General features: G+C 44.5%; 1 protein-coding gene and 1 long non-coding RNA gene across 17 annotated transcripts in view; one reads left to right on the plus strand and one right to left on the minus strand.

Annotated features, from left to right (window-relative positions):
• The window catches only part of HECW1 (HECT, C2 and WW domain containing E3 ubiquitin protein ligase 1), a 453355-nt gene that overhangs the window by 109145 nt on the left and 316383 nt on the right, over positions 1-27827 (plus strand). For 5 of the 16 annotated variants that reach the window (NM_015052.5, NM_001287059.2, XM_047420064.1 and 2 more), the window contains one exon: positions 22084-22141. The exons of 10 other annotated variants lie outside the window; for them this stretch is intronic. In NM_015052.5, coding sequence (NP_055867.3) covers positions 22115-22141 — 27 coding nt within the window. In that variant the 5' untranslated portion in view covers positions 22084-22114. Of the gene's footprint in view, positions 1-22083; positions 22142-27340; positions 27689-27827 lie in introns of those variants that run through there. One more of the 16 variants, XM_011515222.3, reaches the window with a different exon arrangement.
• On the minus strand, positions 23818-27507 carry LOC124901619 (uncharacterized). The gene is made up of 2 exons (XR_007060295.1): positions 27392-27507; positions 23818-24008 (listed from the first exon to the last, which is right to left on the minus strand). It is a non-coding gene; the product is annotated as an uncharacterized LOC124901619 (long non-coding RNA).

Raw genomic sequence — 27827 nt, forward strand, 5'->3', positions numbered from 1 at the left:
GCTTTGGCCTCCCAAAGTGCTGGGATTACAGGCATGAGCCACTGCACCCAGCAGGGTTAGTTTTTAATTGTTGAGCTGATTGCATTTTATCATCATAGGTTGCAATGCCAAATGACTGTTGCAGAGACGATTATGAGATGCAGATCCTCGTTACTCAAAATGTAGTCCTTAGACCAGAGTGTCCTCACCTGGTAGCTCAATAAAAATGCTTAGTCTCAGACCTACTGAATCAGAATCTGCATTTTAACAAGATCTGCAGGCCATTCATATGGACGTTAAGGTTTAAAAGTTCCTCTAGGCCAGCGTTCCTCAACTGTCTTGGCACATGAGAATCTCAGAGCAATTAGGTCAGAATTTCTGGGGTTGGAACCCAGGCTTCGGTACTTAGTAAAGCTCTCCAGGAAAACCACTGAGGTAAGCATTGCAAATCACAAGGAAATAGCCTGGATCCATTCAGAGAACCTGGGTTTTTTTTGCTCTGAAAATAAGAAGCCGAATACTCATGAACCAAGTCAGCTTTCCTTCCAATAAAATCTGGTTCCATCTCTGTATTTTGCACATCTTTCAAAGATTATGCAAACAATCTTTGAAAGATTATGGACTGTTCTATGTCCAGAAGGTACTTTGTATAAGAGGGATTGCATTTGGGGCCTTTCTAATCTAGGATCAGATGTTTTCAAAATGTTGACTCTGAAGAGGATTGAAGTGCCTTGAGGAAGAGCACAAGAAATGTACAATGCATCTTTCTGGGGTGAGATCTTTTGATCATATTTTCTTCAGCTGCTACTGCTGAATTAGAGTCTAAAGATACTGTTCTTCTTCCATAGAGAGCCAAATTCAGTAGGGGGAAGCTTGCTAACACCGGAGTTTCAAATTATTCAATTAGTCTGGAAACCTGACATGTGTGAGATTTGTAGCATTCAGTCTATCTTCCCATGGTCACAGGTGACCTTCCCCCACCATGTGGATGCCTGTTTCCTTTGCAGGCTCCTCCTTTCCCTGAGCTCTTACCATTGGGCCGTCTCAGGGCTCAGGGCTGTGATCTTCTCTCCTGTCTCCACTCCCTGCCCTGGTCATCCCATCCCATCTTATGACCTATTTCACCTGTGCATTGGTGACATACATTTTCATTTCCATCCCACATCTCCTTCTTGAATGCCAGACTTGTTTTTCTATCACCACTTGGATGTCTAAGAAGCATTTCAAACAGAAAATGTCCGAAACCAAACTCTTGTTTTTCTTCTCCAAACCTCCCCTGACTACTTCCTCATCTTAGTTCGTGGCCAATCTATTCTTCCAGTTCACTCAGGTTAAAAAATGAAGTCATCCTTCTCTTTCTATCCTGCTCCACATTCAGTTTAGCAGCAGATCCTTTGCTTTTATCATCAAGATATATCTAGAATCCAACAACAGCTTCTCACCACCATCCTGGTTCAGACCACCACTATTTCTCACCAGACCTATTGCAAAGGCTCCTAATCTGTCTCTTGTGCTTGCTCTTGGTCATCTTCAGTATATCCACAGCCCATTAAAACATTTGTCAAGGCCAGGCGCCATGGCTCACGCCTGTAATCCCAACACTTTGGGAGGCTGAGGCGGGCAGATCACCTGAGGTCAGGAGTTCCAGACCAGCCTGGCTAACATGGTGAAACCCCATTTCTACTAAAAATACAAAAAATTAGCCAGGCGTGGTGATGCACACCTGTAATGCCAGCTACTCGGGAGGCCGAGGCAGGAGAATCGCTTGAACCTGGGAGGTGGAAGTTGAAGCGAGCTGAGATTGCACCATTCCACTCCAGCTTGGGCAACAAGAGCAAAACTCCGTCTCAAAAAAAAAAAAATATGCCAAGTTGTGTCACTTCTCTGTTCAAATCCCATCAGTGGTTTCCTATTCCTTGGGAGTAGAATCAGAGTCCTTGCTGTGACTTACAAGGTGCCACCTAATGTGCTCTCTCCTTACCTCTCACTCTGCCTCTCTGCCCTTGCTGCTGGGTCTCCGCTCTGGCCACTCCAGCCACTCCTGCCTCAGGGCCTTTGCCTGTGCCATTCTCTCTGCCTGAAAGCTCCCCTACCCTGGCTGTGAATCCCCAGGTCTCACTTCTTCCCTCCTTCAAATCTGCAAAAATGCCACCTTCTCTCTCCTTTGATTGCCCCTTCTGAGATTCAACCCTTTCAACAGCCTCCCATCCCCTCTTCCCGCTCCCACATTCATGTATCATTGTCCCCAGAGTTCACATCACTTTCTACTATACTACAGGACTCCATTAGTTTTATTCGTTGCCTGTCTTCTCACTCTAGAATGTAAGCTCTGTGACTGTGGAAAAAAGAGCTTTGATTATTTTAGTCACTGCTGTCTTCTGTCATCTAGAAAAGGCACATAAAATGAATGAATAGATGTATTTGCTATTCCAAAGAACATCGAACTGCATTTAATGTAAAACATCATGCATTTCTCACCCAGTGCTTACCAGGCCCATGCCAGGAGTTGGGGAATATCAGTAAGACATTATCCCTGCATCTCTAAGTTCATAGCCTAGTGGAGGCACTGATGTACAAACAAGCACAATACAAAATGATCCGTGTACTTGTAGCTCAAAATCAGATGCCCTGGGAGCCCAGGGGGACACTCACAACCTAGCTGAGTTCGGGGATGTGGCATTTGTACTTGTGCAGAATGGGAGTCCCAAGCAAAGAAAAAGAATGCACCTTTAACAAAGACTGTGCCATGTGAAAAGGGGCACAGGTAAGGCCAAGCGCAGTGGCTCACGCCTGTAATCACAGCACTTTGAGATGCTGAGGTGGGCAATTGCTCGAGCCCAGGAGTTCCAGACCAGCCTGGGCAACACGGCAAGACCCTGGCTCTACAGAAAATAAAAAGCCGGCCATGGTGGCACACGCCTGTCATCCCAGCTACTCAGTAAGCTGAAGTGAGAGGATCACCTGAGCCCAGGAGGTTGAGGCTGCAGTGAGCCGTGATTGCACCACTGCCTGGATGATAGAGTAAGGCCTTGTCTCAAATGAAAACCAAACAAAGAAAGAAAAAGGACCCACGTAGGAAGTGTCTCTGGGATTGCTGGACAGCAGGAGGGACGTGGGTGTAGTGGAGGGAGTGGCTGGGAGAGGCCTGGAAAAAGGGCAGGGATAAGGCCAGCTTTTCAGGCTGTTTGCTGTGCTGGTGAGTTTGTATTCATCCTGCAGGCAACTCGGGGCCTATTGAGTGTTTTGAGCAAAGAAATGACATGATTAGATTGGTGGCAGGTAAATCCTGTAGCAAAGGTGTGGGGGAAGATGACAGGTGACACATTGGAGGTTTGTCAGGGGCCTGGAGATCCTGGAGATGGACTGAGCCAGATCGAGGGACTCACCCAGCTATCAGATGGTGGCTGGACTGTTTTTCATGGTTGAAGCCATGACTGGAGACTTAAATTATTTTACAACCATCGAGTTAAAAACAAAGAAGGCTGGCGATAGCAAGTACTGGAAAGAGTGTAAAAATAGGTGAACTGCACAGATGGTGGGAGAATCAACTCTTCCCTTCCCTTTGGTGAGCACGAAGGCCCCACCTAGCAAAGTGGAGGATGGGCTGACTTACTGCACCAAGAGACGTGGGCTTGTGCATACCCTGGGGAAACCACTCATATGTATAACCAGTTGTAGGTAAGAAAGCGATTTGCTTGAAATAGCAAAATAAAAAAACTGGAAACAACCTAAATGCTCATCTGTAGGAGAACAGATAAATAAATTTTGGAATATACATCAAGGAAATATTATAGAAAGATTAAACCAGAAAACCCGAGATGCCTATATTAATGTAGGTAAGTATCCCAAATAAGAATTTTATTCCTATAATGTGAGGAACTTTTAAAATTATGATTATGAAACTATTCATGCTACCAAAAAATTATTAAAAACCATGAATAATGATAGAAAATGCTGCTGATTTTCTATGAGATCAATATAGAATCTACATAGGATGCCATGATTATTAACTGAATAGATCTTTTTTTTTTTGGGACAGGGTCTCACTGTGTCACCGAGGCTGGAATGCAGTAGTATGATCGCAGCTGTCTGCAGCTTCGACTGATCATCCTGCCTCAGCCTCCTGAGTAGCTGGGACCACAGGCACATGCCACCAACTCAGCTAACTTTTTTTTTATTTTTAGTAGAGACGAGGTCACAGTATGTTGCCCAGGCTGGTCTCGATCTCCTGGACTCAAGCAATCCTCCCGCTTTGGCCTCCCAAAGTACTGGGATTATAGGTGTCACCATGCCTGGCCAGTTGAATAGACCTTTGATTTGGATTTGCATCTTATTATTTTTAGATGCCTACATGAAAATTCAAAATGCCACTAAATACCATATGTGCTTTTGTAAACCAAATAATAATATCATGCTTTATATGAATTTAGGTTCGGAACATCGGGGTTAAAATGGAAAAAATTTTGATAAAAGTTCAAATGTTACAAACTCTAGCCTTGACTCTGTCCTTCTTATTTCCGTAATTTTGCTCATATCCTTTAAACAACCTGAGACTTCTATTATTGGTTGGTTTGTCTTAAAATGAAGTCAGGAATATCTACCCTGCCTCCCCAGTGGGGTGATGATGTTGAGGATCACGAGATGGTATCAGGAAAGGGGCTCTGCCACATGTAAGTGCCCTCCAGCGCTTGTTACTAATAATTCACTGTCTAAATGCTTTACTTTTTTCATCTCGTGGAAGTAAGAGATTTCAAAATAACATTGTCACTCAACTGACAGGTCGAAAACGACAGTAAAGCAGCCTGGCTTTTCTATTCACAGACCAAACCATTAGGGTCTGTGTCGTTCCAGATCCTTGACGAAGCGGGTGCCAGGGTGGGACTGGACATGCAGGAGATGGGTGAGGAAAGAGCCTGTGAGGGGAAAAGGCCTGACCCTCCTGAAAGAGAGTGCAAGGGAGGAGGGTGGAGCAGAAGCCCCCAGGCAGCAACATCATTTCTAAAATGCTGCCCTCCGAAGAGCCTGGCGTCTCCCGCACATGGGCGCCCTCTGCATCCCTGCTGTGTTCAGTCATTGGTCAGGGCAGCCTGCAGAGGATGGCCTGCGTGTGGGGGCTCCAGAACACAGGATGGGGGCCATCTCCAGCCGTCCAAAATCTACGCACTACATTTTCACGGCTGTCACAACGTCATGAAAACTGCCTGTCATATTTGGATGACCATGGTTGCCATTATTTTTAGCAAAATGACATATTAAAAGAATATATTCATCTAGACAATATAATCTGGAAGTCAATGCCTCTCTCATTAATGTCTCATTATTAACATTAATTATTTCATTATTTAATGCCCAGTGTCCTGCTTTATGTTAAATGCATTCCTGTCACTGACAGAAACAATATGAAATTGACCACTGTTTTTAGTGATTATTTAACATTGATCTTGAAATTCAGGCTACTGAAATAATATGTGAAGCAAAAGCTCCAGGGATGGCTATTTTAAGGAGAACAAATGGTCATTTTTTTTTAGGGGTGTGAGTTTATACCTGTAAAGTGTAAGGAAAATATCTAGTTATTTGAATTAATATAAGTTTACAAAGCTAACAGTATTCAAATATAAAATTTAAGTCATTTAAAAAGCGTCTGGGTTTCAATGATAATGAAAATATAAACTATCCATACTTTAATCACTAAGTGCAGAAAGTATGTAATAAAAGTACAAAACTTTACTAAGAAACATAAAAGATTTAATTTAATCTACCAATATGCCATGTTCTTTCATGAGAAAACTGAATATTGTAAAGTTACATTTTATGTTAATTCATATATAGTTTATGATGTTATTAATAAAATATCCTCTATTTTTCTGTTAATTGACATTTTTTCTTACTTGAAATTATTAACATTATTTTAAAATATTCTGAAATAATGAATAGTCCAGAAGAGGTACATTTCAAGAGGGCAAAGAAGAGGAATGAAATAAGATTAATACGACTGTATTTTAAAGCTACCATAATGAACAAAATGTGATCCTGACTACAGAAAAAGCAATACATCCATGAAACTGCACAACTCAGAGTAAATTCTGGCACACAGAAAAATCTGATACATGATAAGGGGGAAGCAGGTTACCAGTAAGGAAGAAGTATGTTATTCACATGCACCCAAATAAATTACAAATGGATCTAAGAGCTGATGTTTTCAAAATAGTGCTATCACATGCTAGATGGGTGTAGAAATAATGTTTACCTCTATCTGGCTGGGAAGGGTGAGTAAGCAGGGCTTTCCAAAATTAAAGTGTTAGGAGGAACCAGAAAGAATAGTTTTAACACATAAAATTGGAAATCTTCCATTAACAGCCAGATACACAAAATTAAAAAGCAAATAACGCCCAGGGAAAATATTTGCAACAAGTATGTTAGACAAAATCTTGTAGGCCAGGCACAGTGGCTCACGCCTGTAATCCCAGCACTTTGGGAGGCCAAGGCAGGGGAATCACTTGAGTCTAGGAGTTCAAGACCAGCCTGGGCAACATACAGAGACCTCATCTCTACAAAATCAAAAAAAAAAAAGCAGCTTGATATTTTAGAATTCACAGAGCTCATATACTTAAGTAAAAAATAATAGCAAGCTTGAGTAGATAAGGCTTTAAAGAACAAGATCAGACAGCTCACAACAGGGCAATATAAATTGGCTAAGAGAAGGTTGAAAATGTACCGTCAGGAGGTGCAAAGAACTATGGGAACACTCAATGTTGTTGAGTTTGGGGGAGAAGAACACTTGCATGGATCACCAGCTGGGTATAAATTAGGCCCTTTTGTAAGTTCACTTGGCTATGTATTCATAGCCTTTCACTCAGCTATGCTCATTCAGGCCATAATATTTCTTACACAAATGAAGCAAAATGCAGTACACATTTTGTGTGTGTGCAAAGATGCTTCTCCACGATTATTTAATAGCAAAAATATAAACAATCTACGTGTCCAAAATGGTATCAAAAAACTAAATGGTAGTATGCTTATAAAAGGCATCCATTAAAATTTATGAAACTATGTTAGAATTTTCAATGAATTCCAGTTATTAAAATTGGAATATAAAATTGCGTATACAATATGTCTTAAGACAAAAGAAAAGGAAAAACAAATGACAACGAGGAATCTACCAAATTGGTTAACAGTGGTAGATTCTGCATCATGAGTGTCTTTTTTTCTTCTGTTTTCTGCTTTTTATAGCTTTCAGATTTTCCACAGTACGAATGAATTATTTTTGTAATAAAAAGGAAGAACAATTAATGCTCTGTTTAAACCAGATGTGAGATAGCTGCTGTACCTTAAGGTCAAGAGACATTTAATTTGTATTCGCTTTCTGGTAAATTAGATACGTTTCCGGTGTTGAGCTCTCTCCTCCTTCCCTATGTTGAAGTCTTTGCAATCAGCTGACACCAAATAGGAGTTCATTTTTTTGGAGGGATGCTTTACACCATAATGGCTTTGATGAGTCTCCTAAGATCCATTGCCATGGAAAATATTTCTTAAACGATAGAATTCAAAACTCTGTTTAAAAAGAGACCTCTGCCATTATCATTAGCAAACTAACACAGGAACAGAAAAAAACCAAAGACAGCATGTTCTCACTTATAAGTGGGAGCTAAATGATGAGAACTCATGAACACATAAGAAGGGAACAACAGACACTGGGATCTACTTGAGGGTGGAGAGTGGGAGGGGGAGGGGAGCAGAAAAGATAACTGTTGGGTACTAGGTTTAGTACCTGGGTGATGAAATAATCTGTACCACAATCCCCTGTGACACAAGTTTGCCTGTACAACAAATCTGCACAGGCACACCTGAACCTAAAATAAAAGTTAAAAAAAAAATTAATGGGCTATAAATAAATAAAGCGGCCTCTGATTCAAGCAAAAACTAGTTAATGGATGGTAAAGGAAATGGGTGAAATTTTGAGAAGTAACAGTATATTTATGTAATTTCCGAGTGTCTCTCCACAAGATACTCATTATTTACAAAGGATAAAATAGTGACTTTACAGTGGAGAAATCTGACAGACAGCACCTTAACCAAGAGTTGCCATCATCAGTGCAGCTTGTATTGGGTTGGTGCAAAAGTAATTGTGGGTCTTTTTTGCCATACTTTTGATGGCAAAAACCACGGTAACTTTTGCACCAGCCTAATACCTCCTGTTACAGGGCATTGAGGGTTCATCGTGGCTTCTGTGGCTCCTGCTGAAGTCAGAGCCTGACTCTTATCACAAGGAAACATCAGGCAAATTTAAAGTGGGCAGTATTGTACAAAGTAACTAGCCTATACCCTTAAAAACCATCAGTGGGCTGGGCACAGTGGCTCACGCCTGTAATCCCAGCACTTGGGGAGACCGAGGCGGGAGGATTGCTTGAGGTCAGGAGTTTGAGACCAGCCTGGCCAACATGGTGAAACTCCATCTCTACTAAAAATACAAAAAATTAGCTGGGCATGGTGGCGGGTACCTATAGTCCTAGCTACTCAGGAGGCTGAGGCCAGAGAATCACTTGAACCCTGGAGGCAGAGGTTGCAATGAGCCAAGATCGCACCACTGTACTCCAGCCTGGGTGACAGAGAGAGACTCTGTCTCAAAAATAAATAAATAAAAACAACCAGTGTCATGGAATACAAAGAAAACAACTGAACTCAATATAACACAAGATCTTGCATCTTGGATTTTTCTTTTTCACAAAGGACATTATTGAGAACATTGATGAGATCTGAATAAGGTCTGTAGATTAGATAATAGGACCATGTTGAGATTAATATCCTGATTTTTATAATTGTACTGTAGGTATATAAAAGAATGTCCTGTTTTTAGGAAATATGCATCATAGTATTTAGGAGTATGGGAGCATCCTGTCAACAGATTACTCTTGAATGGTTCAGAAAAACATGACACATATGTATGTATAAATATGTATACGTATATAAATTATATGTCTCTCACATACAGAGAGACAGAAAAAGGAAAAACAAACAGCAAAATGTGAACATTTGGAGAATCTGAGTGAAATATATTAGGGAATTCATTGTCATATTCATACAACTTCTCTGTAAGTCTGAAAGTATGCCAAGATTTAAAAAAAATAAATTAAAGCAGAAAGGGACTGTTGGTTGCAGCTCTTCCAAGCATTAGCACATCATCAGGGCCCTCCAGCTCCTGAGTTTGACATGCCTTTTTCAACACTGAATCCTCTGTCTGTTCTGTAGGGAATAGATGCTATGTGTCTGGTGCTATTCTTTAGTCCTCTGCATTTATTTTCCCTCCAAAATCTGTTGACAGCACTATGAAGTAGATAGAATTCTAATTCTCATTGACAAGTAAGAAACTAACATTTAGAGAGGCTAACTAACTTCCATAAGATCCCACAGCCAGAAAGTAGCAGAATGAGACTTGAACTGGGGCTTCTCTACCTCCCTCTGCACTTCTGTCCTTTCCACAGCTGGGAATCATATGTCCCTCCCATCACAGCCCCTTGAATGTAAGTCTTTTTTTCTGGGCATTTACAAATCTGAAAGCATCCCTGTTGGTGTTTTCACATGACGTGGATTCACTGAATTGATTTCCACCAAGGCATGTTATCTGCTTTGCTCAGTGTGCTACCATTAAAATCATGTTCCACCTTAGAATTCCTCAAACTATTGGATGCCAGTTAGGGAACTTAGTGCCTTCACGGAGACTCACTGCTTGCCAGCTAAAGAGATTGAAAAGGACCCAAGATAGTAGATTCAAGGTGACTATGTAGACCTTGGATGGTGCCAGAGACATACTTCCCCTGGTTTTCAATGCTTGGGGTGAAGATATAGGAATTCAGCTGTGGGCTTATACCAGTAACATAGATCCTCAGCTGTCGTCAGCAGGAACCAAGTCCCGGTGGCAGCATTGAGGAGGGCACACAAAATGTATTCTGACATAAGAACCTCTTGGGGCCAGGCGCGGTGGCTCACGCCTGTAATCCCAGCACTTTGGGAGGCCAAGGTGGGCGGATCACGAGGTCAGGAGATTGAGACCATCCTGGCTAACACAGTGAAACCCTGTCTCTACTAAAAAATACAAAAAAAAAAATTAGCCAGGCGTGGTGGCGGGCGCCTGTAGTCCCAGCTACTTGGGAGGCTAAGGCAGGAGAATGGCGTGAACCCGGGAGGCGGAGCTTGCAGTGAGCTGAGATCCCACCACTGCACTCCAGCCTGGGCGACAGAGCGAGACTCCATCTCAAAAAAAAAAAAAAAAAAAAAGGAACCTCTTGGAGGAATTTGATCCCAGAGTTGACAGTAATTGGAGAAAACTGATTGTAAGGAAAGAGCTTGGAATTTCAATGAAAGAAAGAAACCAGCAAATACAAAAAGAAAAAGTAGAGGACCTGGTTGATTGGGATAGTTTGAATGGGCCACAGGAAAGAAGAAAGACATCCTTAAATGCAACCTTACAAGTCTCTATTTGTGCCAGAACCCGTCCTCCACTGGTGAACTATAAGAACCCTCCTTCAAAGTAGGTCAATTTAGGGAAAAGCCAAGTGCTGGTGGCATAAAAGAATCAGGACATGCCATCTTGCCCCGAGCAGTGGAATTTAATTCAGAAGAAGAGTAGAAATGGAGGCTGGCTGTGCAACTGCATTAGCTTGCTTTTGCTGGTTATGCTGTGAAATAAATACCCATACAATCTCAGTGGCTTCCACAACAAAAGCTTATTTCTCACTCACATCACATTTGGCTGTGGGTCAGCTGCAGCTTTCCTTCCTCTTGTGGTTTGGGCTCAGATGTGCTTCTGAAGTGTAGGCTGAAGGCATAGCCCAATCTAGAACTGAACATGATGTTCTTGCGGGAAAAGGGGCAGTAGCAAGAGGGATGGTGAAACTCATGATACCTCTTAAAACTTCTTGCTTACAGTGAACATCACATTTAATTGGCCAAAGCCAGACCTCCGCTCTGGAATGTAAAATAATCCTCTCTGGGGAGAGGAGGCAAAGGACTCTAGGCTTTCACCATCTCCAGAAGAGAGAAGACTTTATATTTCTCCAGAAGTCTCTATCTTTAGGATAGCCAATAATCGTCCTTTAACCCATGTGCCTTTGCTCAGAAATCATTAACACCAAAAACACAAAAATATTCATGGAACATTGTTTCATGACACTCATGCTTTTTAATATTCTGATTACTGTGTTTAGTTGTAGAGACCCAGTTTTCAGAGTTGTGGAGATGAGTGCCCCTCTGGCTCATAGTTCTCAGCAGGCACATATTCTCCTTTGACTGACATATAGAGACTGGATCCAAAATCTAACTTCTCTCCTTCTCCCTAGCTGGTTGTTACTATCTCCCAGAACCTCTATTTCTATGTTCAATATCACATCTGGAAACTCTTAATGTTTTCATATATATTCAATGTAGAAACAACAGTTACTAAAAAAAATCACAATTTGGATATTATAATTTTTCTTGCCTCATTAGCCCTCCATATCCTATCACCAACTAACATAATTTATTTAGTCTCCAGGACTTTTTAGATTCTATTATGGTAAAGACAAGAGTTGACCACAGACAGTCGCATATATCCAAGTCAGTGCATGCCTATGGGCTTTAATATATTTATGTTGAAAGATGCTGCTGTTTGCTTTTCAATGTCTTAGACACTCATGTGTCTGTAGAATCTTAAAATATTATCCAGTGGAAAAATATGTAATTGGAAAAGGTGGTGGTGCAGTCCATTTAGCAGGCCGATGATAGATTTTCCTGGATGCCTCTCCTTCCCCCAAATAATAACTTCCATAAAAATAGTTTTATGAAAGCTTCCAAAATGGTGCAAAATAATACTTTTGTGGAAGCTAGAAATAGGGATCGGTATATCTGACTCCACAACTGATTTCCAGGATAAAGGTGCAACTGGACTCTGAAGATCAGCCCAGACCTCTGCCTACCTGCACATTTCACCTGTCCTCAGTAGCTCCAGGCCTGCACCAGTCAGTCTCAAAGCCTCCACTTGCTCCTCTCTTCCTGTGTTTATTGGAGCTCTCCAGTTCCCAAAAATGCAGCAAAGCTGGAAGTAGGTATAGCAACACAATGGGCATAATAGAAGCTGTGATAGCCTCAATAGAAAAAGGCAGATTCAGAGAGAGAGAGGCATGGAAATAGATTGCAGCTTCTGGTACGGGAAAGATAAGATACTTCATATCATCCAGAAATAAGCTTCATCGCAGGTAGCGAGATGAGCAGGTGAGGAGCAGCCAGCTTCTCTCCACAGTCTGCAAGAGCAGCGTGCAATATACGGGTTGCTAAACAAGCAAAAGGTTATCCACAGACTTTACAAATTACATGCAATACCGCCCTGCCAGTGACAGCTCTCTTCTGTCTACAATTCTGCCAAATTCTCACCACCCACACCTCTCCCACCCTGTTCACACCACCGTGTCTGGCCTAGATTCTTGCAAGGTCTCCCAACTTCCTCCCTCCTCATCCTTCCAGTGTGTTCCTAAAGCAGCAGCCAGAGAGCCCCTGCTCGCTGCCAGCCAGATCATGTCGCTTCCCCACTCAGGGCTCACCAGTGACTTCCCACCTTGCAATGTGTGAACACCAGAGTCCTTCCAGTGAACTAGAAGCCTAACACAACCCGGCCCCTTGTGACATCCCCAGCTTTATTTCCTTCTGTCCTCCCCTTTGTTCCCCATGTTCTGGCCACACTGGCCTCTGCAGATGCTCTCCCACCTCAGGCCTTTTTTTTTGCCTGGAATATTCTTCCCTTGGGCAGGAATGGACACTTCCTTTTCTTCCTTCAGGTCTTTATTCAAAACCTCCTTATCTTTGAAGCTTTTCCTGGAGACCCAGGGAAACCTTCATCTCCTACCCACGTCTTAACATTTCATTTCTCATTTGTTATTTCTTGAAGTTGCATGATCTCTAACATGTGCAGTTTACTTATTTATTGTGTTTTTGGTTGCTCTCTTTCCCTCAACACGAGCTCCACAGCCAGGGCCTGTAGGCTGTGTTGCTCACTCACGTATTGCCTGATCCACAGTGCCTGGTATGAAGTTGGCCCACCACAAACATTTGCTGAGTGAATGCATGAATGAAAAGCCCCCTCCACATGAGGCCCTGAAAGGAAATATGTGCACAGCAAATGAAATAAATGCTGAATAAGGTCGCCTTTCATGACTATCTGGGTCCCTGTGCAGGCCTCTCCTCCCTATCTCATTGCCTCACAATAGTGAATCACCAGCAAATCCGGCCAATCCCCTGCCAGACCCGTGGTCCAGACCCAAGTCTTGATGGCACTAGTCCCTTGGAAGCCAGCCAGAGCACACCTGGGGCTGGCCAGGTCAGGAGAGCCTCCCCTGGAACTGGCAGAGCCATATCCAAGGGAGCCCGGAGCTCTGTCCCTGGGGACCCTGCAGGAAGAAGTGGAGTTCCCCGGCCCCCACACCCATCACCTTACTTGGGGTGAAATCCACAGAGAGTACCCCCTGCTCTGAGGAGTGGCCACAGCAGGAGGAGGTTTGGCCCTCCTTGATGGGGGACCTCTGTCCTCCCAGCCTGCACTTCAGACCAGGAAAAGTGTTTAAAGATAATACTTGGGAACAAATACTAGACTGATAAAAGACAACAGAAGGGAATAAGGGACTATTATTCTTTAAAACTGCGGAATAAGAGAGGCATCCTTGGCCCAAGCCTATGATAATTTCAGAAAACATTTTGAACTCAAGAAAAAGAAAACATGGACTACCAAGCAGCCAGGACTTTGTGTGAGCTACATGAGGAAATCTATGAAGATTCATTTTAAAAATGAAAACAGGAATTTAATCCATACAGAGACATGGTGCTCCTGGATGGGATAACTTAATGTGCAAAACTTTCCCATAGTCATTTGTTAGTTTAATTTAATCCCACTAACAAGATACGTGAATCTTTATGTTCTGGAGGATGGCCAGTGGGTCTCAGTATTGGGCTCTACTGGCATCTTGGTGGGGAGTCCTGAGTGTGGGCATGGGTGTGGGTGGCATTCTCCTACACACCCAGCACACTCCCCTGGGCCCACAGTAACCAGCTCTCTGGATTCTAGATGGATAAAAATGCAAGCACAGCTAAGAGAACTTATTTCAAAAATTAATGAAGTGCCGGGCACGGTGGTTCACACCAGTAATCCCAGCACTTTGGGATGCCAAGAGGGGAGGATCACTTGAGCCCAGGAGTTTGAGAACAGCCTGGGCGACATAGTGAGACTCCGTTTCTTTTATAGAAATGAGAAATTAAAATTAATGAAGGAGGTACCTGTGCTACCCAATGTGATATATATAATAAATATACAGTAAATATGTTTATATGCACTAGTCCGTGTATATACACACATGCAAACACTAAAACTTCATGTGTGGGCATATGAATGGAAAGAGCAATAGGAGTAAAGTCCTGAAATAGACACAAGTTAATAAGAAATTTCAGATATTATGATATATTAAGTGATTACTTAATCTATATCATTATTTAAGTAATTACTAAAATTATTAAGTGATTTGGGAAACCATTCATGGGGGGGAAAAGCTCAAATGAAATAGTGTGAATTCAAAGTGTCTGACACAGGTGTCAGTCAATTTAGAAAGTTTCTTTTGGCAAGGTTAAGGCTGCACTCCTGACGGTGTCAGGTCCTGAGGCCCAAGGTGGTTGGGGTACAGCTTTCTTTTGTACATTTTAGGGAGACATGAGACGTCAATCAATATGTATAAGATGTACATTGGTTTGGTCCCAAAAGGTGGGAAAACTTGAAGCAGGAACTTCCAGGTCATAGGTAGATAAGAGACAGAAGATTGCATTCTTTTGAGTCCTTGATCAGCCTTTCGCTGAATACTCAATGTAGTCTGGCTCGGTGAATCTGCATTTTTACATAAACAGTAGGGCAGAGGAAGCAATCAAATATGCATTTGTCTCAGGTGAGCTGTGAAGATTAGCTATCAGTTTACATTGCCAGGGTGAAATTCAACAGAACTGTTTTAGGGTAAAGATCATGAGGCCCACAACAAATTTCCTTGTGGGCACATTATGAGGGAGTTGTGTAGCTTTTTAAAAATCTTTGTAGCTGCCTTATTTAGGAATAAAATGGGAAGCAGGTTTGCCTGCCATAGTTGCCACCTTGAGTTTTCCCTTGGCTTAGTGATTTGGGGGTCCCGAGATTTATTTTCCTTTCACAATAGTAAATGAAACCAAAAAAAAACTAACTATACCCAATGATTAATTTCAGAAAGAAGAGACTATAAAGGTAAAGTGAAAACTAGGGAGGAGAAGGAGGGAGGGAGGGAGGAAGCAGGGATGGGAGGGAGGGAAGAAAGAAAAAAAGAAGGAAGGAAGGAAGGAAGTAGGTAGGTAGGTAGGTAGGTAGGTAGGTAGGTAGGTAGGTAGGTAGGTAAAGTGTGACTGTTTGCCTAATGGAAGCTGGGGCTTCAGAGGTTCTGGGGAAAAGGGACATTGCTGCCAGTGTCTTAAAGGTATTTCTGACCAAAATAAAATGTAAATCACTGGAGAAGACCTGCCTGGAGCCCTCCTCGGCTCTTAAATGGAATGCTGTAACATCTTGTTGTGTGTTCAGCTCATCTGTTCGGTGTGTCTCCCCTCCTGAAGGGCAGGGACCACACTAATCTTTGCAGAGTGGACCACTGAGCATTGGCACTCTGGAGCCAGGTGCCTGGCTCTGAATCTGCTTTTCTGCTCCTTACTACTTGCATGACATTGGGCATATTACAGTGACTCTCCATGCCTCAGTTTCCTCCTCTGTAAAGTGTAGACAGTTATAGGAACTGCCTCGCTAGATTATTGTGAGGATCAAATGGGTTAATATGTGTAAAGCAAGATGAGCATTTACCATTGTATCTGCAGCTCCCAAAACAATGCCAGCTATGTGGGAGACAGTCAATGCATGTTGGGTGACTCTGAGCCTGCTTTGCTAGATAATACCTCTCCAACTCCCTAAGAACACAAGCAAACCACCCCTCAAGGATAACTGGTGACAGATTTTGAAAATAGAGGCAGAAATGCAATTCACCAGTCTTTCCCCCCCGCCGCCCCCACTTGGAGCCTGCAAAAGCGCTGAGTAGGACTTAGTCTGCTTGCATATCCATGACAGGAAAGTTAAATGAGATACTGAAGCCGATGGGAGAGGGCCCTTGGTTGCTCAGGGCAGAGTGAAGCCTGTATCCTTTGCATAATTCTGCCCCATCATATTGCTTTTTGTAAAAGGAAAATGTTTTGATAGTCTGTCACTGAAATCTGTTTTTAATGAAAACACCCTAGGATTAGCTATTATTCTTAGAAGACAGCTCTGTTGTGGAGTTATTCAAGGATGGAGTTCTATTACGTGTGTTTGCCCACCACAGATGTGCCTCAGATGAAACATGAAGGTTAGGGAAGAAAGCAAACAGCTCTGGGCTGAGCAGCAATAAAGCGCTGCATTGGGAGGGATGGCACTGGTGGGGAGGGGTCCCAGCTCATGGCCATGATGCTGGCACCAGAGTGGGTGCTGTCCAGAAGCTGTCCCCATCCCTGTTCTTACCACCTTGGCTCCAGGACCCAGCTTGACTTCTCATGTGACTTTTCCCTCTGGTGCTCAGAAATTGGAGTCTGAGGAGTAAGGCCTGGGGAGGAGGTGGCCACACCCACAGGTGGTCATATTTATGTTGCCTGGTATGGAGTTAGAACTGTTCCTCTAGGGACAAACTGGATCTTTGGACCAGTCTATCTACAAACAAGGATGGCTCCCTCAGCTTGGGAAGAAAGTGTCAAATGGGAAGTTAGGGAACGTGGAAGTTTAAAGTGAAGCCATCTTTATGTTCTCCCTGTGTGTCATTGTTTCGCCGTATGGATATGCTAGAGAAGTGAAAAAATGTATGAATGAATGAAAATGAAAAATATATGAGTAAAATAAATATCTTTAAAAAGGAATAGCCCACTGGCTATACCACTAAGTTCATGCTCTTCAAGTAAAGCCTGGACTATTTGTCAAAGCCTTTTTTTTCCCTCTAATGTAAGAGGGTTTTTCTGTCATAGAGGAGGGGCCTGGGAATTTGGAAGGCATTGTAAGTCATTGCTGACAGGAAATGATGCTATTAGGTATTGGATCATAAAGAGACCTCCTCCCAGGAAAATGAATTCAGTGACAATAACACCATAATGTTATATAACAGTAAATTTTATATCTCCTGAAAATTGATGTTGGATCAAAACAAGGGACTGAAAGACAATAGATTGGGACAAAACAAAATCAGTCAGACCCCAACTCATGCTGATGGAATCAAGGTCACAAAGTTTAAAACAGAACTTCCAACGTGAGACCAGACGGCCACGTTTTTGGCCTGCTATCCAGTCTGGCTGATGGCTGATGAATATTTGCTGTGACATCAGCCAAAAGGGAGACGATCTAGTGAAACTCTTCATCCCACCTCTTGGGCTCTTGCAACAAAGAATAGTTTTGTTAAATTAGCAAATGTAATTTTCTGGTCTCTAAGAAGAAGCAAGTTTTAAAAATCCCCTTCAAAATATGTGCAACTGAGCTTACTTTGTCTTTGCAAGGGTGTCTAGTGTGACATTTCAGGAATTAACCACATATATGGGAATGCACACACAGGCTTTCCCTTCCTTCATGTACCGGGTTGGTTGGTCTGTCGGCAAATAGTTATTAGATGGCGCACACTGTGCTAGGGTCTTTGCCCTAGAGGGCAAAGATAGAAGAGGCGGGCCGTAAATTTCCTTGAGGGGTTTGGGGTCACTGAAATAGGAATTGTATGTCTTTAAATATCTCTACAGCTTGGCACCTCCTGCTGGAACTCAACAAATCCTAAATGCCAATTGTCCATACTTAGGACAACTTAAAATAATTGACAGTCACAATGATAGTCTTTTGTGAGGGGCACTTGCCCCAGCTGACCAGATTTCTGGGGATGTCAGATACACCCACTTAAAATAAGTGTAAATTATTTTTAAATATCACAAGCCCCCTTTGAGGACCAGCCACTCCAGGGCTTCTTAGCTGTGATGCGCTCTTACAGCCCCAGACCTGTAGGGACATGTCCCTCCCAGAAGGCGGCACACTGGCTGGGCCTCTCTCAAACCACCCCATAAAAAAGAGAACCTTACCCGAACCAGGACTTCTGGCTTTCTTCTAGGGTGGGGTTCTGAGTGACCTTTCATCATATTGTTTGTCGTCCGTATGGCTTGGCTTTTCAAAAGCAAATGTACTTTGTTTCTATAATTAGGAAAAAAAGTTTTTTTTAAATGTCATCTTTTGCCAGGCACGGTGGCTCACGCCTGTAATCCCAGCACTTTGGGAGGCCGAGGCGGGAGAATCACGAGGTCAGGAGATCGAGACCATCCTGGCTGACACGGTGAAACCCCATCTCTACTAAAAATACAAAAAGCCAGGCATGGTGGTGGGCGCTTGTAGTCCTAGCTACTCGGGAGGCTGAGGCAGGAGAATGGCGTGAACCCGGGAGGCGGAGCTTGCAGTGAGCCGAGATCTGGCCACTACACTCCAGCCTAGGCGACAGAGCAAGACTCCGTCTCAAATAAAGTAATAATAAATAAATAAATGTCATCTTTTATATTGCTAGCTTTTATGTATTCCACCCATGAATGATCTTGACCTCTTCCTCAAAAAATCCTCCACTTATCAGACGACAGACCGAATGAAAGAGGAGGGAAGCAAAACAATGAAACAATTTGTTTTAGCCTATGATAAATCACAGTATGGTCTGAAGGGTAACGTGCTTTCTAATATTTGGTTTTTAATCTTAGTTCATTTGGGTAGGGACAGATAAATATTTGCCCAGGAGAAACATCCTGCTTGGTTCATTTGATTTTTAATAATCCTAACTCTACTCAGGTGACCTAGCAGCTGTGGCAGAGCATCAGGCCTCAGAGGTGGTGTCACTGCCAGTCAGCGTTGATGAGTAGTGACAGGCCGTGTCAGATGGTTGATTCACAGGGCTTTAGAGAGGTGCCAGGGGTTTGCAGGGCATAAGCAGGGTGCGGCAGCCAGGACCTATGAAGAAGTGGCCTCAGGCAGGGCTGGGCCTCCAACACCGCCCTGCTCTCCTATTGCTGTGCCACAAGGGTCTGCAGAGGGACCCTCCCCACGTGACTTCCTGCTGCCCTGTGCCGAGCACTCCTAGAGGATTTTCCTGAGGGTCATGGCCACTTGAGTCCAACAGAGGAACTGGCTGTGTATAGCTGTGTGTAAACCAGTTGTGCCTTTGAAGGAAGAATCATCTAATCTAAGGTTATTTTAAAGTAGTACTTTGTCGATTCCTAATACTGTCCCTTGCCATTTCCTGGGGATTTCCTCTACTTGAAATCTGTGCACTCATTCGCTGCTGTCAGGCTGGATCCCATATGGCAGAAGCAAGGGGCCGTGCAGATCTGTGTAGCTGAAGGTGGGCTGCGAGCAGGGAGTAGAAGCACTCATCAGATGGCTTTTGTGTGGACAGGTCACTTGGTCCCCATCTGATTCCTTCATTTCCTTGGGCTCCAGTTTATTCCTGATGAAAGAGGGTTCCATCCAGGTTCTCTTTGGTGGGGTGGGGTAAGCTTCCAGGAGCTGGAGCTGGATCCTTTTTGATCCCCATTCACTTTCTTTATGAAGTCTCCACTTCTGCTCTCATTCTTTTTTTATTTCCAGAGTCAAGCTTTGCAGTTAAACAATTAGTAAACTGTAAAGAAATAATTTACAGTAAACTGTAAAGTGAAATACACCGGTATCCCCAGTACTAAGTGCTAAATAGATAATGTCTAAACAGCCCATTTGAGTGGTCTTTTTTCCTCTTCTTTTTACTCTCCTAATGTATGTGTGTGTGTGTGTGTGTGTGTGTGTGTGTGTGTGTGTGTGTGTTTAATTAATTGGATCAATATTTGGCTTAGGACAGTGAGCACACCCTATACCAGGCTCTGTGCTAAGTGCTGAGGATGGCAGCCCCAGCTCCCAGAGAATTCTGAGTCAATTTTGCAAGATAGACATTAAACAAATATATACATAAACAGTTCATTAGAATTATTTTTAAAACTGTCAAAAAATAATAACTACAGGGTACTATTCCCAGGCCTCTGTCATGGGGGAAGGGGAAGCACAGGGGAGGCCAAGGAGTGGGGGGTGTGGAGGAAGAAGGGCTGACGGCAGCTCAGGTCAGGCAGCAGGGACAGCACACTGACATCTCCAAGGAAGGGGTAAATAAGTGCCTCTGGAGACTGTAGGATTCCCAAGTGGCCAGAGTGTCACAGGTCAGGAGGAGGGAGGCAGCAGTGAGGTCAGGGAGGAGGGAGGACCAGATCCACTTTGCATGTTTGTATAAAGTAAGTCTCAAACTGGTATTTAGAGCTTTAGCCTAAAGGAAGTGTGAAGCCACTAAAACAAGGAAGGGCGACATCAGGTTTCCTTTTTCAATAAAGTGTTCTGTCCATTATGGAGACTGTATTAAGAGCAAAGGTGCAGACGAGGAGGCCGGTTAGGCTCCATGGGAGTTGAGTGGGAGAGGGAGGTTTGGACCACGCTGGAGGAGGCAGAAATGGTGAGAGGCAGATGAATTCTAGAACCGTTAGGAGGTAGGAGCAGACGAACTCAGTGCTTGGTTGGACAAAAAGGATGAAGAAAGAGGACTGGAGAAAGAAAGCTGTCCAAGTTCCTGACAGGGAGCTCTAAGCGGCAGAGGAACCATGACTAAGGCTAGACTTTTAAGGGAAGCTTGGGCATAGGAATAAAGATCCTGAGTTTTTCTTGCATGGTGCTTGGGTGGCTGCGCAAAGCTCCAGTGGATGGGGACTGGGTCTGGACATCAGATGAGTGCTCTGACCTATCACAGAAATTGGAGAGTTGGCGATGTTCACATGGTAACTAAGGCCAGAGGCAGGGACATGGCCCTAGTGTGTTCCTTCTTGCGTCTTTTCCTAGTTGGACCTTCTCCAAGGAGGAAGGCAGTGCAGGGGAGCCTGCAGATGGGGCAGAGCTGGGGCAGCCTGAGAACCATCCAGGAAGCCAGTGGCTGTGGCAGGGAGCGGGAAGGAGCAAGGGTGCTGCACGGTGTGCGTCACCACTGAGAAGTCCAGTAGCGTCCACCAGGGCGTTGGACACAGAGCAGGATCTCAGTACGTAGATGTTGAATTCTCTCCGTCTTCTATTCAGATCTGCTTGGACCAGGGTTGAGAACATAATCTCTGCACCCAGAATGCAAGCTTGCTACTTGTTTCTTACACGACTTCATTTGTCAGCAAAGCTTCAGGTTTCATCGGGGTTTGGGAATGCTGACATCATAGACTGCTTTTTTCTGGAATCAGGCCACATTGATTATTTTCATGGTGACTGTAACTCCCAAGGAAGATGAGGTTATAAAATCAGAATAAAGACGTATGAACCAAAACAATACCTGGATTAAGAGGGCCCTGACAGATGATGCCGTCAGCAACTGTCCCATGCCTGGCATCTCTGCTCAAGTCCTGTATGCTAATTTTGGACATGGTAGCTCTAAAGTGCCAATGGTGAGACCAGTGATGCCAAGTTTATTGTGGTGACAGTCACTCCGCAGGACAACAAGTGGAAGGGGATGGCACTTCTTGAGTCTTTCCCATCTGAGTAAATGCCTGAGGGAGTAAGGGCACTGAAACAGGCAGTGAATTTTCAGCAGTTTAACTGTAGATTCCCCTTCCTTTGTGGTTGAGGGAGCTTCAGGAGTGGATCATATGTGAGGATGCTTTTCGCTGGCCTTCTCAGACGGCTGGGAGAGCAGAACTTCTCTTTCCCCACAAACACCCACACCAGATCCTTGTTTCTTGAAAAAGAAAAAAAAAAATTCTAGGCTCATGAGTCTCATTCCTTAAATTAAAATTTAAAATCAAATCAAATTACTTATGGCACAGAATAATGTTGCTTGCAACTTTTTATCCACTTTATCAAAATGAGTGTGGTCCTTGTGTGATTTTTCCTTTTGCACGTCGGTTGCCCAGGCCAGGTATCTTGGCGGGGGTGGGGGAAACAATGTTGTTTGTGTGGGTAATGTTGCTGATTTTGTTTGCTTGGGATACACGCTAAGTTAACCTCGTTGGACTTTTCCCCAGGAATTGATGCGCGTACACGTGGTGGGTCATTATGCTGCTGCACCTGTGTAGTGTGAAGGTCAGTGTGCTTTTCTGATTATAAGAAACCATCCATGTCATTCCATTATAAACCCACTCCACTCATAATGGAATGTGCCTCAGCCTAGGGCCATTGCGGTTGCCCAGCCCAGGAATTATCTCAAGTGTGGCTGGACATTTGAGATCCATCACCCTCCCTCCCCACCACCTGCATCCACCCCAGAATTCGACTGTGCTCCATTTTGAGATGATGTTTTTGCATGTGGAGTCCTCCTTGTGTGATGTGAACGTACAGTTGTTACAAGTGAATTTGTACCTGGAAACATTCTATGATGCTACTTCCAGAATTACAGCTGAGAGCTCCGCTGTCTATGGGTAATTGCTGTACAGTTGATATGGACAGACAGAAATAGGCCTTGAGACAAGAGCAACAGCTTCTCCTCCTGACTCAGAGCCAGGCCATCCTCTGGGAGGCTGATGGCTCATTAGGATGGGCTCTTGCAGCAGGGTTGCTTTCCCTGGAAGTACTTTCCACCAGCTCCCCAAGACTTCCTGCCAATGGTCCTCCTTCCTCTGTGTCATGGTTTTACTTTTGGTGACAGCCCAGGTTTACAGTCATCACAGCTCACATTTACTGGGCACCATGAATCATGGTTTGTGCCGAATGAGCTCCCCATGAGCTCCTCTCCTGAGAGGTAGGTATGATCATTGTCCCCATTTGATGTACGAGGGAACTGGGTCATGGAGGGTTGAGTGGCTGCTCTGAAGTCTCCCAGTGGGTAACTGAGGAGCATTGATTCCCACTGAGGTCTGCCTGTCTGAGCTGGAGTCCATCCACTGGGCCCTGTGCTGCTCGGGTAATACTCAGCCAATCCTGATGTGAGGCTTTTCTCTAAAAAGGAAATAAAAGCCCACATTTGCATAGCACTTTGCAAATTTATTAAGCACATCCACATGCATATTCAGCTAATCCTTGAAATAACCCTGCAAGAAGGAGAGGGACGCCCTGAGATGTTCAGTGTGTGCCTTGGTACGCGTCAGCGGGCGGGAAGATGAGGCCACGCTCACATGCAGAGGCAGCTTCTCCTCTGCCACAGGGCCCTGCTGCCTACTCATGCAGAGGGCAGCTCTCTTAATTCACAAGTTCTGCCTAATGCACTTAAAGAATGAGCATAGCATGTGTTGGATTAAGGAAGCATTAAATTAATACTTAATCCTGTGCTGCCAAACATCCAGGAACAGTGTCAGCACAGTCACTTAAATTCCCCTTTATCTCCTTGAGTATCCCAGCTTGGTGTGCGCTCAGGAGCCACTTCCTCTGTACCATTTTCACAACTCAGAGCTCAGCAAAGCCTTGATTTCCCCAGTTCACTCAGCTTACTCCACCCTCCAGCCATCCCTTGGGGAAGGCGTTAATTTTGCTAAGAGAAAGTTTCCATAGCACTCAGTCTGTTTGCATTCCCCTTGGACTTCGGTGTTTTCTCTTTGGCTTTAAAGATAGAATGAGAAGTAGTTTTTAAATACCAAGCAGTTCCTTCTGAGTGCATTTCACATTCAGGAAGAATGCCGCCTCTTTCTTCTTTCCAGGACTAGTGTCCTTGGGAAGTTAGGGCTTCTCAGTCCTAGACAATCTCAGCTCATGGCATCTTCAGATACAAGCTTTGCCTTGAAATAAAACTCCTGGAACCAAACAGCAAAGCCAAATACGCACACAGATCATCATAGGGGATTTTATTCAGTGATCCAGGAAACAGAAGGCCAAGTATTCTCCCCTGACATTTATGTGAGTGAGTTCTCACTGGGTAACATGAGAGAGAAGACTGGGATCCCAGCTGATGCTGTCAAGGACTTAGCTTGTGAAACAAAACATGAGCATCAGTACAGCCTCCTGCAATGACACAGGGAACCTGAAAGGACAGGATGCAGCAACCTTATTTCCAGGTTTCCTGGAAGTTAAATGCAAAGCTCCTTACCCCGCACCTTACTCAGTAAAGGGAATCTATGGCCCCATAACTTCTGTGCTTTCATGTAAATCTTCAAAATTAAAAATAATCTCAAAGTTCCCTACACCTTCCCCTAATATTTTATAAGAAGATTCATCATGCTCTGAAATGAGTCTGCAGCACTACTAGGTGGACTTATGAAAATATCTGGAAATAAGCTCTGGAGGCTAAGGCAGGAGGATCACTTGACGCCACGAGTATGAGACCAGCCCGAGCCATAGGGAGATCCCATTTCTATGAAAAATAAAAAAAAAAAAATTAGCTGGGCATGATGGTGTGTGCCTGTAGTCCCAGCTACTGAGGAGGCTGAACAGGGAGAATCGCTTGAGCCCAGGAGTTCCAGGCTACAGTGAGCTAATATGGCACCACTGCATTCCAGCCTGCGTGACGTAGCAAGACCTTGTCTCTAAAAAAGAAAGGAAATAAACTAGGGATCATTTAATTGACCACTTAATGTATTTTCAGCTTCTGGAATGATCCTTAGCAGGATGAATGCTTATCTCTGGGAGAGGCTCATACAAGGAAGAATTTTATGCTATAAACACCGGTTCTCAACCAGGGGTACATCGCAAACCACCAAGTCTAGCTCTGCACGTGAAGCCTGTGTAGTTGCACACTGAAAAGGTCTCTAGGTAATTCTGGTATGCACTCCTGGTTGAGAAACACTAGCTAGACCTGACGGGAACTAAGCCTTTCCACATCTGTGAATAAGAGAATGAGAAAGAAATCTGTGCTGAAGATCTTTATGCTACAAAGACAAGTATCTTGTCACCCAAAGATGGCTTTCTAAGCCTATCAAAGGCCCTCTGTGGAGAAAAAACAAAACATGCATTGCAAATGACTGGCATCTCTGTGTCTGTTAGGTCCCCTGAGAGGGCAAGAGAGAACTAACGTTTGTGACAGGGAAAGGGAGGAAGTGGAATTGTGTGGGGGCTGCAGCCTGGCAGAGCCTCTGCCAGCCCAGTGGACTCTCAGGAGCAAAAACTGCCTGTTCAGAGACCCAGTGTTGGGTGGGAATGGCTAGACCCCTGCATCCCCAACTAGCTTAATGTTAGGCCAAGGCACCCTAAAGAGAGCCTGAGCACCCCTCCATACATAGGTGGAGTGGAAGGAGTTGGTGGCTGGAAGCTGTCAGCTGACAGCATCCTGACAACTAGGCAATGAATCTGTTCTTAAAAGAGAAGCACAGCTCCATGTCTGCTATACTCTCCAAAGACTAGAAAATCAGTTCCTCTGGGCTGTTCAGAGTTTAGCTCTGTTTTGACTACAATGCCAAGGTGTGATCCTTTGGTGGAATTTACTGCCTTAAGGTAGAGGAATGAAGGGAGGACAATGGAAGAAATATGCAGGAAAACTTGGTTCATTTGATTTCCTTCTGTTTAGGGCATGTGCTAGATGGCAGGACATGGAAGAATAGGGCACTAAAATTTGAGGGATCATAACAACTTCTCATGTCGAAAGTGAAGCCCAGACCAGGCACAGTGGCTCATGCCTGTAATCCAGCACTTTGGGAGGGGGATAGCGGGAGGATAGCTTGAGACCAGTCTATATAAGCCTGGGCAACATGGTGAGACCCCATCTCTAATAAAAATAAAATTTTAGCCAGGCATGGCAGTGCACCTGCAGTCACAGTTACTCTGGTGGTTGAGGCAGAATTGCTTGAGCCCAGGAGTTAGAGGCTGCAGTGGGCTATAATCGTGCCATTGCACTCCAGCCTAGGCAACAGAGCAAGATGCTATGGAAGGAAAGAAAGAGAGAGAGAGAGGAAGGAAGGGGAGAGGGAGGGAGGGAGGGAGGAAGGAAGGGGAGAGGGAGGGAGGGAAGAAGGAAGGAAGAAAGGAAGGAAGGAGGGAGGGAGGAAGGGAAAGAGAGGAAAAAAGAGAGAGAAAAAAAGAAAAGAAGGAGGGAAGGAAAGAAAAGAAAGAGAGAGAAAGGTAAGAAGGAAGGAAGAAGGAAGGAAGGAAAGAAAGAAGAAAGCAAGCAAGAAAGGGAGGGAGAGAGGAAGGAAGGAAGGAGGGAGGAAGGGAAAGAGGAAAAAAGAGAGAGAAAAAAGGAGGGAAGGAAAGAAAAAGAGAAAGGAAAGAAGGAAGGAAGAAGGAAGGAAGGAAAGAAAGAGAGAAAGAAGAAAGCAAGCAAGAAGGGAGGGAGGGAGAGAGGAAGGAAGGAAGGGAGGGAGGGAGGGAAAACAATGGAGAGAGGGAGGGAAGAGAAAGACAAAGGAGAGGAGGAGAGGTGAGGAGAGGAGAGAAAGAAGAAGAAAGAGAGAGGAGCCCAGAGAGGTTGTGTGTCATCAGAGATCACCCAGAGATCGCAGGGCTGAGGTGGAGCCCCAGGGCTCCTGACAGCAACACCCCTCTCCTGACACAGAATGGGCATTGTTACATCAGTCTCCTTCACCCCATACTCTACACAATAAAGAAAATCTGTGGCTCCAGAACTTTTATGTTCTTGCTTAAATCTTCCAAACTGAAAACGATCCTGAGGTTCCCTACACCATACCCCGCCCCACCACATCCTTCATCTAGACACATCCTGGGTCTAGAACGTATCAGGAGACAGAGGTGTAGAACCACAGCCAGCTTCCCTAAACTTCCACTAATCTCCGGCTTGCTTTTGGTTATAATGTTGTGCAGATATAAATTGACAAAGTCATGAGAAGCCTCTCTTCTAACTCTGCAGTTTGTCATCCTGACACCAACAGAAAATCAGGACATCATTAATTCTCTACACTTATTGATTTGGAACCTCCATTGTAAGGCCGGCTGCTTTACTCTCCCTCCTCCTCCTCCTCCTCCTCCTTTTCCTCCTCCTCCTCCTCCTCCTCCTCCTCCTTTTCCTCCTCCTTCTCCTGTCCCTCTTCCCCCATCTCCCCGTTCTCCTCCTGTTTCCCCTCCCCCTCCTCATAGTTTTCAGGGTCGGAGTCCTAGGCCACTCTATTGCAACAGCTACCAAAGAGAAAGGGGCTGAATCTGTGTGCATGTGAGGCCACAACCTCTAGACCCCAGTGACTTAGGGGCCTCCCTGCCTCCCCTCTAGCTCTTCGCCAGTCATTGCCTGAACTCGGCTTTCCTGGACCTTAGGGGATAAATAGTGTGGTCCAGCACTGCCCTGGGTGAGCTGAGTCATGCCCTTGGCAGGGTCGAGGAGCTCCCGTGAGGAGACCAATCGCCTAGCGTGAGTCTTCTTCCGGGATTGCTCGCCCTCTGCCCCCTAGGTGCCGGGCGCCGCCCGTCCCCACCTCCATCAGAACTCGGGTCATCTGCGGAGCCTTGGCTGCGGCCCGGTACCTGGGTGTGACTCCGCCACTAACATTTTCCCAGCAGGAAGCAGCAAGCTCAGCACAGAAATAAAACTGTCCTGGTGAGTCGCTCACAGCCTGTCCCAGTAACTGTTCCGGAGCGTCAGCCTGACGCAGCACCCCTGAAGGACCACGCCGTGCGGGCTGCGAGCCTCGCCCTTAACCATGCCCAGCAGGACCAGAGCTGCCAGCACAAATGAAGGTCCTGGCCATTGAACAACTTCTGAGCCTGCACTTTAAGAAGGCGCTCTTGTTTTGAATACGTAGTCTGTCCTGTTCTTTCAAAGTAAGTGCTTTTATCAAGGGCCTGGACTGTCTTTTAAACATATTTTTTTCTCACTTGTACATTAAAGGGAAATGTATTTCTGTCTAGAAAAGGAGACCGGGAGAGGAATGAGACTGTGCGGTATTCAGGCTTGGTTTAA

This window comes from Homo sapiens, chromosome 7, assembly GCF_000001405.40.
Source record: "Homo sapiens chromosome 7, GRCh38.p14 Primary Assembly".
NCBI lineage: Eukaryota > Metazoa > Chordata > Mammalia > Primates > Hominidae > Homo > Homo sapiens.